The following is a 16,788-nucleotide window of genomic DNA, read 5'->3' as shown; positions in this document are numbered from 1 at the left end:
TTTGTGAAAATTGTAGTTCTAGCAATGTGAAAATGAACCAGACTTGAATTCTAAAAGAGCAGATGTGACACTGTCACAAATAATTAAAATTAAAAGGGTAAAGTGTCTTAAGAATGGTGCATGAATAAAGGAGTTCAGATTAAGAAAAGTGTATGTAGGAGAAATCAGAATTCGTGGATTCTTGGCATTTGAACTGGGCCCTGGATATTAGAAATGAGACTGGGAAGGATTAAGGAAGAACATTCTGGGCAATGGATACAGAATGGGCAAAGACAGGAAAGCAGAAGACATACATGGAATACAGCAAACTGCTCAGTATGACTGGAGTATACAGGTTGTATAAAAGAAAGCACAAGGCTATGAAGAGCTGAAAAAGTATATGTAGAGCCAAATCATGACTTTGAATGCTAAGTCAGATATCTTCAGTGGTTAGTCCTAATAAAGAATCATTAAGGGCCGGGCGTGGTGGCTCACGCCTGTAATCCCAGCTCTTACGGAGGCCAAGGTGAGTGGATTACCTGAGGTTAGGAGTTGCACACCAGCCTGAGCAATATGGTGAAACCCCATTTCTATTAAAAATACAAAAATTAGCTGGGTGTGGTGGCGCATGCCTGTAATCCCAGCTACTCGGGAGGCTGAGGCAGGAGAATTGCTCGGACCCGGGAGGCGGAGGCTGCAGTGAGCTGAGGTGGCACCACTGCACTCCAGCCTGGGCAACAGAGTGAAGACTCTGTTTCAAAAAATAATAATAATAATAATAACAATCATTAAGGATTATGAGGCAAGTGATCTGATCCGGGATGAAATTTATCTGGCAACATGGTATAAAATGAATGAGGAGGAGACATCAATTATGTTGCTGTAAGAACTGATGAGGACAATTATGATGGTGACCTTACAAGGTAAGAAGTCACAGTTCTAATTTAGTCTATCATCAAATATTCACTGGGTGTCTACAATATGGAAGGTAACATTCTACTCCACTAAGATATCTTACAAGTTTAATGTATCATTCTCATTCTTGAGGAAACTGATGTGGAGAAACAACTGTTAAAGCAACAAAAGCTAATAAGGCAATATATGATTTCCAGATAAATGTTACAAACACAAAAAAACTGTACATGACAAATCAGCAGAGACAGGAAAAAAATGGTCAGTGAAGGCTTTATTAACAAAGGTGGAGTTAGTTGATCTGCCCCTCAATAAGAAGGCTGAACTTCTTGAGCATAAAGAAGGGGAGGGATAAAACTTCAAAAAGGTAAATTGTTAAAAGCTGAATAATTGTATAATAAGGCCTAGATACGTGAAATAAATTTGGAGATATTTTCCACCCAAATGTTAAACAAAATGCTAATAAAAAAACACAACCCTTTAATTATCTAAATTTAACTTCGTAAGTTATCAGGAAAATGAGGCATTAATATACCATTACAGGCAGGGCACAGTGACTCACATCCGTAATCCCAACACTGGGAGACATGGTGGGAGGATCACTTGAGCCCAGGAGTTCGAAACTAGCCTGGGCAAAGTGAGACTCCATCTCTAAAAAAAACAAGCCCATCCCCCACAAAACATTATAGCATTGCATGCTTAAAAATAAGCAGTACATTCTAGATTTTTTATAAGGAAGGGGGTTATTTTTAGTGCATTCTACAGGATAAACCAATCCTTTTAACAACAAAAGAGGGTTTTTGGTTTTGTTTGTTTTTTGTTTTTGTTTGGTATTTTAATAGAGATGGGGGTCTCACTTTGTTGCCCAGGCTGGTCTCGAATTCCTGGGGTCAAGTGATCCTCCTGCCTCTGCCACCTAAGTGCTGGGATGACAGGTGTGAGCCACTGTGCCCAGCCAAAAAAAAAAAAAAAAAAAGGTATCTTGAAGAAAGCTTTATGCAGACACAATTTGAAATATCCAAAATGTTACATTTTCTTATTTGTCAAAAAAGCTCCCCAAAACAATCTGATAAATTCTTTCCTTTTTCATATTTTACATGTAAGCGGCAGAGCCAGAATTTGAACACAGGACAATCTGACTCTAAAAGCAGAGCTATACTTGCATTCAATGCTATACAAACTTATTTTCTCAGGATTTTAAAATTTCAAATGTATCAATCAAAAAGTATAGGTCGGGGAAGAAGACTGGCGAATCTCAAACTATATAACTACTGCAAAATTGAGAGACACCTATCCTTATTTTTATATATTCAGATTAGAAAATGTAACATGGTTTGTTGTTCAATGAATATTACACTCTTTTAACAAAGTGCCTCCCTCAATTTAGCACATAACAAAGCTCTTGACAGTGACACAGGGGTACCTCAAGCTGTTTTACATATGCCTTTCAGGGCTGGGCTGCCTACCTGGCCTCCCCCTCTCATGGACCTCCCTTCTTCAGCCTTTCCTGGCTTATCCTCCCACTCACTGTCCTTCCAAGATTGCCTTCGCTGGGCAGATTTCCTCTGTATTATTTTTAAACATTTAGGAATAAGGGAGTTGGGTAGAGGGTGCGACAAATTTGTTTCTACTTTCTAATTTGACAAACACCCTAAATCTCTTTGCATCCAATACTTCAAGAATAGGGATTCAAGTACTTTCTTTTTCTCCCCCAAGTACTTTCCCATTACATAAATATCTTGCGGTGATATATATACACGGTAAAAACCCCTAAATCACTTAACACTTAGTGTAAACCAATTGCTGTATTTAATATTACTGGAATTTGACTTTTTAGGATTCCTTAAAACTGATCTACAACAGCTAGACACGGTGGTGTAACCCTGTAGTCCCAGCTACTCAGGAGGCTGAAGCCACAAGATCCTTTGAGACCAGGAAGTGGAGGCTGCAATGCACTATAATTGCACCTGTGAATAGCTACTGCCCTCCAGCCTGGGCAACACAGCAAGACCTCATCTCTAAAGGAAATAAATTTTTTTTAAAACCTGAGCCAGGCAGAGTAGAAGTGCACCTGTAACCCTAGCTACTCAAGAGGCTGAGGCAGGAGTATCCCTTGAGCCCAGGAGTTTGAGACTAGCAACATAATGAGACCCTGTCTCTATTTTTTAAATTTAAAAAATATAAAGGGCAGGCTCAGGGGCTTACGCCTGTAATCCCAGCACTCTGGAAGGCCAAGGTGGGCAGATCACCTGAAGTCAGGAGTTTGAGACCAGCCTGGTCAACATGGCAAAACTCCATCTCTACCAAAAGTACAAAAATCAGTTGGCCTTGGTGGCGCATGCCTGTAGTACCAACTACTCCAGAGGCTGAGGCAGGAGAATCGCTTGAACCCAAGAGGCAGAGCCAAGATGACACCACTGCACTCTAGCTGGGCAACAAGGTGAGACTTGGTCTCAAAAAAGAGAAAACAAAAAAACCCAAACATATATATACAGAGAGAGACCAGCCTGGGTAACACAGGGAGGCCCAGTCACAAAACAAAAAAACAAACAAAAAAAAACCTGATCTACAATATAGAAGCAAAAATGGCACTAGGAATATGCAGAGTTCTTGTAAGCAGTGCAACTATACCTGCCTCAAATACATTAGTTCATTTAAAAGAAATCTATTCATTCGTTCAACCAAATTACTGAATGCCTAACATGTGCCAGGCACTGTTATAAGTACTTAGGAAACACCAATTAAAAAAAAAAATCCCCTTTCCTCCTTTCTACCTAGTGGGAGAAGACAGGTAATAGACAACGCAACTTTCTAACACATGTTGGAATGTAATAAATGGTATTGGGGGGGAAAACAACAGGGTGAGAGGGACTTCCAGGTTATTAGGGCAGGTTGCACTTTCAAACAGGGTGGTCAGAGAAGGTTTAAGGGGGCAGTGAGAAAAGACTTGAAGGAGGTAAGGGAGTCAGTCAGCCATGAAATCTGGGGAAGAGTATTCCAGAATAAGGAGGACAAAGGTCCTAGAATAGCAATGAGGACAGGGAAGCTGGAGGGAAGCCAACAAAGGGGTTAGCTGTAGGTGTCAAGGGACATGCGTGGAAACAAGGGGTACAGATTATGTAGGGTTTATGCGACACTATAAGGAATCTGATTTTTACTTTGAATGAAACAAGGATCCACACAGAGGGTTGGGGAGACTGTCATGCTCAGTTTTACCAAAATAACTGTGGCTGTTGTATTGAGGACAGGCCTTAGCGAGGACAAGGGTGAAAGCAGGGATAACTGTTAGGAGGCTACAAAAGAAACCATGGAAAGAAATATACACTTCCTACAAACTTGGATCATAATGGTGCAGGGATTTACTTTAAGGCAAAAATAAATAAAAACAAATTTGTCAGATGTTAATAGGAAATAACTGTAACTGGCTCTTGTCATTATATGTACATTGTACATATAAAGCAGCAAACAATGACATCTTTTAACTACTCACCTCAAGAGAACATGTTCCTTTACAATCAGCTATTCACTGTTAATTACATATAATTTGTTGAAAAAGTTACTTTTATCAACTGAGAATACTATAAATCTGCTGTGTGAGGTAGCTAACGCCTGTAATCCCAGTCTTTGGGAGGCTGAGGGAGGAGGATCACCTGAAGCCAGGAGTTTGAGGCTGCCAAGTGAGCAATCCAGTCTAACCTGGATGACAGAGGGAGATTCTCAACTCAAATAAATGAATAAATAACCTTGGATTGCTGTTTCTCAGATCATCTAAAATAACCATTCCTAAGACAGATCTTATTTCTTTGGGGGTGGGGGACAATACTTTTTCTCCAAAAGTTTCTTTTTATGCTCCCATGTTTTAAAGTAATTTTCTTCTGATTGATACTGAATTTGTATATTAGTCTGCGTCATTCACTTCAGGAAACTGCAACCATAAAAAACTCCCACTGTCAAAAATATAACATTTCCAAAAAAAGTTCCTTCATGACACCAAAAACCCCTCATCCCTCATCATCACCTAGTTCTTCTGGAAAAGGCAAACACAGTTTCCATAAATTCTAGTACCTTTAATAGTACAATTATCATAAGGATAGGAGAAAGAGAACAAGTCAAAGATATTCAATTAAGAAAGGGGATAGGAGGCAGGAGAATTTGCTTGAGGCCAGGAGTTCAAGACCAGCCTAGGCAACATAGGAGTCCCTGTCTCTATTTTTTTAAAAATAGAAGGGGGTGAGGGTAGGGAGCATAAGAGATTTTAAAATAAAAACTTCATGCCAGATGCGGTGGCTCATGCCTGTAATCCTAGCACTTTGGGAGACTGAGGTGGGTGGACTGCTTGAGGTCAGGAGTTCAAGACCAGCCTGACCAACATGGTGAAACCCCGTCTTTACTAAAAATACAAAAATTAGCTAGGTGTGGTGGCACGCGCCTGTAATCCCAGCTACTCAGGAGGCTGAGGCAGGAGAATCGCTAGAACCCGGGAGGTGGAGGTTGCAGTAAGCAGTGAGATTGTGCCACTGCACTCCAGCCGGGGTGACAGAGCGAGACTCCATCTCATTAAAAAAAAAAAGTTAAATAAGCACTTTTGTTGTATAGTAAACATAGGAGGGAAAGACAGTGAAGGATAAACATAGCTTGCTTGCTTCACTCAAAGGTACTTGTAAAGACACCCAGATTCAGCTTTGATTTTTAAGAGACTACCCTGTGACAACTTACTTTGGAAAAAATATTTGTGTAAATACAGAAAATACTAAATTCAACTTCATTAATTAATTCAGCATTTAGGTGCTTATGTGCCAGAAACTGAGCGAGGGGAGAGTCCCTGTTCTCAAGGGCTTTTACTCGTAATTTATCTCCCAGTTACTGAGTCCCTACTGAGGCAGATGCGAGGGATACAACAGCAAACCGGAAACACAGATTCTCTACCTTCACGCAGCTTGCACTGAAGGAGGCGATTACAAGGATGAGACACACATCTAACAAAGATACAACACTAAAGTGTTATAGATATTGCTTATGGAAGTGTAGAGGTTTCAGTGGGGACACAAGGGATTCGGGCTGGGAAGGAAGGGAATGCTGGGACTTCAGACATGAAAGCTGAGTTCTCAAAGAGGATTAGATGTCCACCTGGCTGACCCGGGCGAAGGGCTCCAAGCAGAGAGGAACTGGAGCAAAACAAAGCTGTGAACAGCCTGGTGTATTTGGTAGGCCTGGAATATAGAACGTAAGAGGGAGAAGTCATGGAGGCTTCTGTAATACCACAATCAAGACTGGACCTTACTGGTATATATGAAATGCCCCCAGAAGAATTTTATTCAGAAAACGAGCATATATATGATCAGGTTTTTCTGGTGTGATGAGACATTGGTTTACACAGGAATGAGAAAAGAAAACACTAGATAATGATGTCATCACATGAAACAACAAAGGAGCCTACCCAGTCAGAAAACTAAACTCTTCAGGAAGAAATTAAGCACTACTACTATTGAAGCCCTCTGGAAAAGGGTGTATTCAATATCATCTAAAATGGAAAAAGTACAGGAAAGGTTTTCACACATCTATTGTGGATTATAACATCCACATACCTATTTTGAGTTTAAGAGGTCTTCACTCGAATTCTGCAACACATCTGGGACTACTGATTATTGTACAAAAAGCAGTACAACGTATTTAGGAGAGTCTTTGATACAAAGGGAGAACACGAGTAACCGAAGGAATTTCCCAAGCCAGGTTTAAAGGTTTCCAAAGTTCAAGCTAATCAAGTTTTCTTAAGTCAGCACGTTTAAAAGGTGTGTCATATGGGTGGAGCAAAAAGAGGAGGGATTAAAATTTATATACATATATATATATATATATATACACATATATATATATATACACACACACACAAGTAACTCGATGTCGCTAGGGTTAAAATCACCACTTGGAGATCCGTCTCCCAAGCAGAGGGAAAACCTGCCAGATCCAATTAACAAAAAGACGAGGGAGGTGGGTAAGAGGACGACCACACATGAAAACATAAATGGGGCGGGGGGGTGGTGCTTGGCAACCACCTATCCAGAACCCATAATCCAGTTGGCGGTGCGATGAGGAAATCATACGATTCAGACATAAAGACAGGAAAATGTCACTCCCAAACTCCACAAGCGAACCACCAGACACTGGCCAAGGGGATGTGATCACATACTCTGATCCCAGAACTCAAGGGCAGAGGGTATCATCCCCACACGGTGCCCGAGGGCAGGCGAAGAATCAACCTTACTCTGAGATCAGAGAGCAAATGCCCTCAGATCCAGCCCTAAGGGGTCAATGCCGCCCAGGCCAGGCCTTGCCGAAGCCAGGGGCAGAGACGGCCCCGAAGCCCCCTCAATCTCCGCCAGAGCTGCCTCTACTCGCTCCCCCCAACACACACCCTCCCCTACCTGATATGGCGGCGGCGGCTCCTGATCCGGCTCCGTCCCCTCGCCAAAGCTAGCCCGGTCGGACTGAGACTCGTGAAGCAGGGAGATGTCATCCGAGGTGGGGGATTTGAGGCAGTTCCCCATCTTCCGGAGCTGGGGTGCGTGATCTGGGGGAGGAGAAAGCAGCGGTGGGGTCGTTCGCACACTCCGCGGTCCGCCTCGGTTGGCGAGGTGGGGTCGGGCGACAGGCCGGGGATCAGGCGGAGGCGACTCCACCGCCCCACGGTGCCGCCGAGGGGCCGCTCATGCCAGCCCCCGGGGTTGGGGGATCAAGGCTGGGCCGCGGGCTCCGCTGGGGTCGCGGCGTTCGCCTCCTGCGAGGCAGCGATGGGGGGGGGGGGGCGGGGAGACGAAGCACTTCCCCACCCCGCCCCCCCGCGGGGCGGCGGCGGCCACGGAGCTGCTGGGCCTAATCCAGGTCAGCGGGGGGGGGCGCGGCCGTCGCGGCTGCCTCAGCTGCTGCCTCAGCTGCTGCTGCCCCCGCCGACGCCGGAGCCACGGCCGCGGGCCTCATCCTACTCCGCCTCAGCGAGACGGCGGCAGCCAGAACGAGGCCGGCTCGGGCACTGCGTCATCGCGCCGTGCGTGCTCTGGTCCCGCCCCCGGCGCCAGGAGGCGAGGGCGGCTCCGGCGGCGCCCATCCCCCTCTCCACTAGCAGCTGTTCTCGGTGCTGCGTCAATTTTTGCTTCTCTCTGACTGCTTGGCTCCGTACCTGGCTCCGAAACCAATCTCCCGTCTCCCGCGCCTCCCCACATTCATTGCTCCTGCCCCGTCTAGGGCTCAGTTCTTACCTGTGCACTGCCTGACAGTCTTCTCACCACCCTCCGCCAAGCGGTCTATTTATATAAACCCATATCGGAATGGATCAGTCCCATGATTAAAATGTTAAAAGCTTCCCCTTTATCCCTTCACAATAAAGTCCTAGCTCGTTACTGAACCATCCCTGCCTGTCCAATCACGTCCTTATCCTTCCACATCACAGCCAGAGAGATTATTCTTCCAGTTGTATATCAGATTGTTCATTTCTTTCCAGTCCCAGCACCAAAGTCCAAGCCACCATCATCTCTCACCTTGGCTTCTGCAATAGACTCTCAGCTGTTCCTGAGTTCATCATTGCCCACATCCAATTCACTGTTGGCACAGTTGACAGAGTTATCTTTTTAAAATTTAAATCGGATCATGTCATTCTCCTGTTAAAACCTTCAGTGTCTCCTCAAGGCTGTCCTTAAGACAATCCTTAAATGGTTTACAAATCTGACTCCCTTTCAATCTCATTAGCAGCATTGTCACCTCCTTCACAAATTCTAAACTAGACTCTCTAAAATGCTTTTCGTTATCTGGAATACTATTGCCTCTGCCTGGGGCCTTTGTCCATATTGTTTCTCTCACAGAAACCCACTTCCCTCCACTCCCAACCTTTCTGCTTCTCATCAGGCTAATCATTATTCTCAGGAATCCTTCTGGATGCAACTTCATTTCCCCTGGGGAGACTCTCCTGACCCTCCAGTCTGGGTTAGTCGCATCCTGTGTGCTCTCAGACCCTGAGCTTTTCTCTGTCACAGCCTGATCAAGCTGAATCATCTGTCCCTCTGTGCAAGGCTGGCACACTGCCCAAGGTAGAGTATGCTCTCTCCTTGGTTGAATGAGCAGCTCAAACAACATATGCAAAAGAAGGAAGCAAGAAGGATGACAGTGCTCCTGATAGACGTTCATTCAACAGGTGGATCTTGACTGCCTTTCGTTTCATTCACCATTTACTGAAGTTGTGTGTGCGTGTGTATACCAGACCCCACGCTAAGGACTGGGGAAAAGGATGATCATACCTGGCTTGTTCCTGATAGAGCCCAGAGACCACCTGGGAAGACAAGTAATCAGGTGAGTCCTAAGCCCACACCCTGCCACGGACCCCAAGGTTTTTAGAGGAACTGAAAGACAGCAATTAGTTCATTTGAGTGAGGAACAGAAAGGATTCTTAGAGGTAGGGCTATATTAAACTCGAATGGGTCTGAACACTCTTACTCTGCAGTCCCTATTCTACGAAGTCACTATCTTATTTAAATGCACTCAAATTCCACATTAAATATCACCTTTTTGATATAAAATTTTTGAAAAGACTCATAATTTTGGGCCAGGCGTGGTGGCTTACGTCTGTAATCCCAGCAATTTGGGAGGTCAAGGCGGGTGGATCACTTGAGGTCAGGGATTCGAGAGTAGCCTGGCCAACATGGTGAAACCCCATCTCTACTAAAAATACAAAAACTAGCCAGGTGTGCTGGTGCACGCCTGTAGTCCCAGCTACTCGGGAGGGTGAGGCAGGAAAACCGCTTGAACCTGGGAGGTGGAAGTTGCAGCGCAGTGAGCCCAGATTGTGCCACTGCACTCTAGCGTGGGCGAGGGAGTGAGTAAGACTCAGTCTCAAAAAAAAAAGGAAGGAGAAAGAGAGAGAGAGAGAAGGGAGGCAGGAAGGAAGGAAAGAAGGAAGGGAGAGAAAGAGAAAGAGAAAAGAGAAAGAAAAGAAAGAAAGAAAGAAAAGAAAGAAAGAAAGAAAGAAAGAAAAAGAAAAAGAAAGGAAAGAAGGAAAGAAAGAACAAACTGACTCACAATTTTGGTTTTGGAATTGTTGAGCTTCCAAGAACTCATTTAATTTATGATTGGCTAAATTTACCAGAAATCAGAGGTACCCTGGAATTTTTACAAAGTGAGAAAATTTACCCCACAAATTATTGTCAAACCTAAAGAAATTTTTATTAATAATAATTTATACAATTATTTGACATAATATTTACACAGTGCTAGAATTTGTAGACATTGTTTGTTTGTTTTGGAGACAGGGTCTCACTCTGTCACCCAGGCTGGCTTGATCGAGGCTCACTGCAGCTTCAACCTCCTGGGCTCAGGTGATCCTCCTGCTTCAGGCCTCTCCAGTAACTAGAACTACAGATGCACACCACCATGCCTTGCATTTGTTTTTGTTTTTGGTAGAGACGAAGTCTTGCCATGTTGCCCAGGCTGGTCTCAAACTCCTGGGCGCAAGCGATCCTCCCGCCTCAGCCTCCCAAAGTGCTGGAATTACAGGTGTGAGCCACTGTATGCCTGGCCAGACATAGATTTATTTAGTTAGTTTTAATTTTTTTTAATTTTTATTTTTTGAGACAGAGTTTTGCTTGTGTTGCCCAGGCTAGAGTGCAATGGTGCGATCTTGGCTTACCGCAACCTCTACTTCCCCGGTTCAAGCAATTCTCCTGCCTCAGCCTCCTGAATAGCTGGGATTACAGGCGCGCACCACCACGCCCAACTAATTTTTTGTATTTTTAGTAAAGACGGGGTTTCACTATGTTGGCCAGGCTGGTCTCGAACTCCTGACCTCAGGTGATCCACCCACCTTGGCCTCTCAAAGTGCTGGGATTATAGGCGTGAGCCAGCTCGCCAGGCCAGATTTATTTTTTTAAGTTTTGTTTTTCATTCTTTTTTTCCACAGGTGGGTAACACTGACACAAGCCCTTGAAAAGTTCTATAGTGCCTTGTGAAAATAAGTTATATTGTTAAGTTTAAAACTAGCTTGGGCTGGGTGCAGTGGCTTACGCCTGTAATCTCAGCACTTTGGGAGGCCGAGGCGGGTGGATCACGAGGTCAGGAGTTCAAAACCAGCCTGGCCAATGTGGCGAAACCCCATCTCTACTAAAAATACAAAAATTAGCCGGGCATGGTGGCATGCACCTGTAATCCCAGCTCCTCAGGAGGCTGAGGCAGGAGAATCACTTGAACCTGAGAGGCGGAGGTTGCAGTGAGCCGAGATCACGCCATTGCACTCCAGCCTGGATAACAGAGTGAGACTCCGTCTCAGTAAACAAACAAACAAACAAGGCTAGTTGTTCACCAGAAGATGGGAGGAGCATTTGAAGCCCATTAATGGCTTGGACATGGTCCCTGCCTTCAAATAGCTCAAACTCAAGTAGATGAGACAAGTAGGTGAACAGTTAGCAGGGCTACATTCAGACCTTTATATTTGTTCTACTTTTATTTTTAACTTTTGCTTCCATGAGCATATATATATCACTACCTCACAAAGGTACAGCTTTAGACCTCTGTGTCTGGTGAGAGAATAACTGTTGCATATTCCCCTGAGCTCAGAGGAAATGATATTTTAGAAAAGATGAATGGTTATTGACCATTATTTTTTTGTGGATGAGTAAAATATCAGCTACAATTTTAACATAGTTTAAAAAAACGATAGAATTTTGTTTTGTTTTGTTTTTGTTTTTTTTGAAACGGAGTCTCACTCTATCACACAGGCTGCAGTGCAGTGGCACAATTGGCTCACTGCAACCTCCACCTCCTGGGTTCAAGTGATTCTCGTGCCTCAGCCTCCTGAATAGCTGGAATTATAGCCGGGGTCCACCATGCCCAGTTAACTTTTTGTATTTTTAATCAAGATGGTGTTTCACCATGTTGGTCAGGCTGGTCTCGAACTCCTGACCTCAAATGATCCACCTGCCTTGGCCTCCCAAAGTTCAGGGATTTCAGGCATGAGCCACCATGCCCGGCCATGTGGTCTTGATAATAATGAATAAAACTACCAGAATAAAATTGTATCTATCACTTATGTAGTGCTTCCTATGTGTCAGGCACTGTCCCAAATGCTTTACTTCTGTTCATTTAATGCTAATTAAATGATCTGCAGAGTGACTAGGGCCTAACACAGCATGGCTCTTTTGGATACTCACAAGCTAATCAGATGTGAAAATAACATTGTCTTTGGCCCAAGTTGAATAATAGCCATCATAGCAAACTCTTATAAAACACTCTCTGTTAGACAGCATGTGTTTTATTTGCCCTCTCTGGTAATTCATTCAACCCTCAAAACTCTATGAAATGGACACTACTGATATCCCCATATTACAAATGATGTAAGATATAAACAGATGTGCTAGAGTTGGTTCATACTAGCTCATATGAGTCAATTGTTAGAATTTCAGGAATTGTGTGACCTTGTTGTTAAACATAGTCATTATTAAAAATTAAATTATATAAACTTACAGTTAAAAGGTATATTAAAAACAAACATAATAAATACCCAAAACGAGTGGCTTTCTAACTACTTTACTGTATTTCACTATTATCTGTGTTATTGAGGTTATTTCCTTCTAGTGTATCTCTGTGGTAGAAATACTTTATAATGACAAGCCGCTGAACATCTCTCCCTAATTCTGTGTTTAATGATGCCAGATTGGTAGCTTGAAATTGCCCATGGTGAGAGTATTTATACCTTGGAAATCAGCAAATGTTACAGGACTTGATTAATTGTTTCGTTGACTGTCTACACTTAACCAAGTGACTCCAATTCCAACCTGGCATCCTACATTCCAGCCACATCACAGTGCTTTCCATAGCCTTGACTTTCAGTATGCCTTTCCACCTCTATCCTCTAACTTTTGCCATGCTGTTCCCTTCTGTTGAAATCAAGCATCTTTGAAGATTCTCAGATTCTTTTGTAATTCATAAGCATGATGACTCGGTATTCACGTGCATGTGTGAGATGTGCCACCCTGGAACCTTGTTGCAACGTCAGCACATTATGGGTCTGACATGAAAAAAAAATTATCCTGAAATACCACTTTCTTCATGAGGCTGTCTCTGATCTCATTCAGTTGGAATATAGGCAATGATAAAAAAAAAGGCATCTATCATTGTATTGTATTATGTATGCCTACTGCTAATCATATATGAATATTTTAACACTTTTTTTCTTATTTATTTATTTATTTATTTATTTTTAGAGACAGGGTCTCCCTCCATCACCCAGGCTGGAGTGCAGTGGAAAGATCATAGCTCACCGCAACATCGAACTCCTGGGCTCAAGCTATCCTCCCGCATCTTCCTCCCACGTGGCTGGGACCACAGGCATGCACCACCACACCTGGCTAATTTTTAAAATTTGTGTAGAGCCAGGCATGGTGACTCACACCTGCAATCCCAGCCTCCCAAAGTGCCCAGCCACAGTTGTTAGTGTGTATAATCATAACTGCCATTTATTAGACAGAACTGGACAAATAAAGAGACCTGGAAGGTATAGTGACAGTCATCTTTTACAGAAATACAAATATGGCTTCAAAGAGATTAAGTAACTTGCCTGATGTCACACAGCTATTCACAGATAAAGGGAAGGGGAGAAGGCTTATCTTGAATGCCTTTGGCATAAATGTATATTCACGTGTAAGGAAGTAGCTATTCAGTGATCTTCTTCCTAACCTGGTTTTGGAAAGGAGCCCTTGGGAAGTGTCCTTAGACCAAAGAGTGTGACTTAATTATAAAATATAATTTATTTATTATTATTATTATTTTTGTAGTTGCAAGATTTAACAGAGTGAAAACAGAGCTCCCATATAATGGGAGGGGACTCAAAGGGGGTTGCCACTCCCTGCTTGAATGCCTGGGTTTATATCCGGATCATTGTCCCTCCCTCTGTGCTCTCAGGCAATATATGATTTGACTATTTCTTTACCTCCTGCTTTAGCCTAATTTTTATTTTAGTGAGCCCTCTTTACTACCTGATTAGTTGGGTGTGAGCTGAGTTACTAGCCCCGTGTTTAAAGGTAGGTGCAGTCACCTTTCGCAGCTGGGCTTAGGAATTATTAGTTGGCCTAGGAAATCCAGCTAGTCCTGTCTTTCAGTTCCCCCTCTCAACAGGAAAACCCAAGTGCTGTTGCGGAGGTTGGCCGACGATCACTCTAACTGCTTACTGCTGAATTGGGGTGAAGTAGGGGTTGTGCAGTTGAGATTTCCTCTGGAGGGTTGCCTTCGATGTCATCAACATCGGAGCATGGGCTAGCAGGCCAGTCCAGGGGACCCCAGTAGATCTTAGTCATGGGCTGCATCTGGGGCTCCATTTGAAGAACCATTTGTAGTTTACAGCTTCGATTCTGGAAGAGACAAACCTAACAAGGAGGTTAAAGATACAGGGATTGAAATGTATGGCCTGAAGTGCAGGGGATTATTTCTTTGGCACACTTCACAGGCCCTGACTATCTGCTTGATAGTTTTGAAAAGGCCTGGTCCAGTAAATAATAATTTGGCCATCTGATGGGTGCTACCAATGCCAGAGTGAAAGGTTTGGTGAAGGATTTTAAGTAATTTCCATTGGTTAGCTGCAGGCAAAAGTATTTTTCCTTCTTTGGTGGCTAGCCATCCTGAGGGGAGAAAACTATGTCCTCGTGAGGTTCCCCATTCTATTTCTTCTGCTGAGTACTGGGGCTTGGTTTCCTGGAGGGGGTTACCCCACACTAGGGGTCCTTCTATAAGCATTTCTAATGGAGGGTCCCGCCTTGTGGCTCTTTTGGCTTCAATATCCATTTGGCGGTTCCCTTCTATTTCCCTTTCCTTTCCTTTCCTTTCTGATGACCCCAGCAGTGTAAGACTGCCACCTCTTTAGGTTTCTGTACAGCCAATAATAATCTCCTAATGGCTTCCGGATATTTGATAGGTGCTCCCTCGGAAGTTAGGAATTCCTTTTCTGTCCATATTGCTGCGTGGGCATGGAGGACTAGGTAAGCATACTTAGAGTCTGTATATATATTTACCCTTTTTCCTTCTCCTAATTCTAGTGTATGATAGCCCCTGCTTTTGCTAGGATATCTCTCCCTATCAAAGGAGTGGGGCTTTCAGGCATAATTAGAAAGGCATATGAAAAGAGTAAAATTCCCCAGTCACAACTTAGTGGCTGTGAGAAGTATCTAGTGACTGGCTGTCCTAGGACTCCTCGGATAGTGACAGATCTGGAGGACAGTTGTCTGGGACAGGAGAGTAAGACTGAGAAGGCCGCCAGTGTCCAGGAGACAGTTAACCTCCTGGCCCTCAATGGTCAAGCATACCCAGGGCTCTGTGAGGGTGATGGCATGGGCTGGCACTTGCCCTGGGCACCCTCAGTCCTGCTGCTGGATCATCTGGTTAGTGGCTTCTGACTCAGAGGACCTTCGTCCCCTGGGGCAGTGGGCCTTCCAGTGATTCCCTTGACATAAGGGGCATGGACGAGGGGGCGGCTTATTTCTACTTGGACAATCTTTTTTAAAGTGTCCTCGTAGACCACACTGGAAGCAAGCCCTATTAGGCATTCGATTTGCCCAGCTTTTCCCGTTTCCAGAGCCTCCAAAGTCTGCTTGCCTGAGGGCCATGACTAAAGCGGTGGCCTTTTTTTAATCCCGTTTGTCCCGTTCCACCTGCTCCTCCTGATCTCTATTATAAAAAACCGAGGTTGCCCAGTTCAATAGGGTTTCTAAGTTTTGCTCCGGGCCTAAGGCAGACTTTTGAAGTTTTTTTTCCTAATATCTGCAGCTGACTGAGTGATAAACTTATCCTTTAAGATTAGTTGGCCTTCAATAGAGTCAGGTGACAGAGAGCTATGTTTCCTCAACGCCTCCCTTAGTCTCTCCAGAAAGGCAGTAGGATTTTCTTCCTTTCCCTGTGTTATAGTGGACATCATTGAATAATTTATAGGCTTCTTCCTAGTTTTCCTGTCCTTTTAGCACACAAGTTAGCAAATGTCTGCGGCACCAATCTCTGTGTTCTGATTCTGTGTCTCAATGAGTGTCTACACTGGGAACTGCCTGCTGGGCTGTGGGGAATTGTTCTTTTTCCTCCGTTGTCATCCTATCATTGACCTGACTGAGACACCAGAGATCGCCAAACTCTCAGGCTGCAGTTATGGCGGCACTTCTCCCATTTGAGGTTAGTGTCTGATCTAGCAGTGACATTATATCTCTCCATGTCAGATCAAAGGATTGTCCTAACTTAATTCTCAAGGTTATCTGAGAATTTACCTAAGTCTATTTTAATTTGCTTTAAGTCTGAGAGAGAAAAAGGTGCACGCACTCTGACTGGGCTGAACTCTCCAGAATACATCTTAGGGGCGTTTTTGCCTTGGGGGGAATGTTTCCCATCTGAAAAAAGAACATAGGGATGCCAGCACCCCTAGTCATTTTCTGATGCGCTTTAGTCCTAGAGCGTCCTCTATGGTCCTAATGCTTATTCCTTTCCAGGATGCATAACAACCCATGGACCTCTGCTTATCGGATTAGTTACGCTTACCGATGTAGAAGTCTTGCACCTGTTTTCCTGCCTTTCTTGACCACAAAGAAAGGTCCAGGCTGCTGGATTCTAGTGATCCTTTACCAGCGTGCCCAACATTGCCTTTGTGCTCAGGGGTGAGTCCTAGAGCTGGGCTGGGTTCCTGAGTATTTCATAACAACCCAGCTGCCCCATCAAGATGCATTCCCATAAACAACAGTTCTTATGCAAATTCATTTCAGAGACGTTGTAGGTAACCTTTTGAGTCAGGATTGAGATAGAGATTTTTGATTCTATAAGTACTTTAAGGCTTGGCTGAGTGCAAACAGCTCCGCACGTTTGAGCAGACCAATTATTAGGCAAATTTTCTAACTC

The 16,788-nt window shown here is 43.9% G+C and overlaps 1 protein-coding gene, 1 long non-coding RNA gene and 1 other non-coding gene across 3 annotated transcripts in view, besides 1 other annotated feature; 2 read left to right on the top strand and 1 right to left on the bottom strand.

The window, feature by feature from the left end:
- Window positions 1–7,920, bottom strand: part of RNF11 (ring finger protein 11) — a 37,175-nt gene extending 29,255 nt beyond the window's left edge. Inside the window, exon 1 of the mRNA NM_014372.5 lies at window positions 7,314–7,920. Within this exon, the coding sequence (NP_055187.1) occupies window positions 7,314–7,436 (123 nt within the window). The 5' untranslated portion in view covers window positions 7,437–7,920. The remainder of the gene's footprint in view (window positions 1–7,313) is intronic.
- Window positions 7,656–8,135: a silencer, noted in NCBI's record as "silent region_873". NCBI's record gives its function as "represses an Ori minimal core promoter by ATAC-STARR-seq in GM12878 lymphoblastoid cells {active_cell/tissue: GM12878}" and the evidence as "EXISTENCE:reporter gene assay evidence [ECO:0000049][PMID:35858748]".
- The window catches only part of LINC01562 (long intergenic non-protein coding RNA 1562), a 40,002-nt gene continuing 32,310 nt past the window's right edge, over window positions 9,097–16,788 (top strand). Inside the window, exon 1 of the long non-coding RNA NR_147076.1 lies at window positions 9,097–9,228. This is a non-coding gene — a long non-coding RNA (long intergenic non-protein coding RNA 1562). The remainder of the gene's footprint in view (window positions 9,229–16,788) is intronic.
- On the top strand, window positions 12,837–12,940 carry LOC124904818 (small nucleolar RNA U13). The gene has a single exon (XR_007067414.1). It is a non-coding gene; the product is annotated as a small nucleolar RNA U13 (small nucleolar RNA).

The sequence above is a fragment of the Homo sapiens genome, chromosome 1, assembly GCF_000001405.40.
Source record: "Homo sapiens chromosome 1, GRCh38.p14 Primary Assembly".
Classification (NCBI taxonomy): domain Eukaryota; kingdom Metazoa; phylum Chordata; class Mammalia; order Primates; family Hominidae; genus Homo; species Homo sapiens.
The sequence above is the reverse complement of the archived record's forward strand: the minus strand, read 5'-3'. Positions and strand labels throughout refer to the sequence as shown.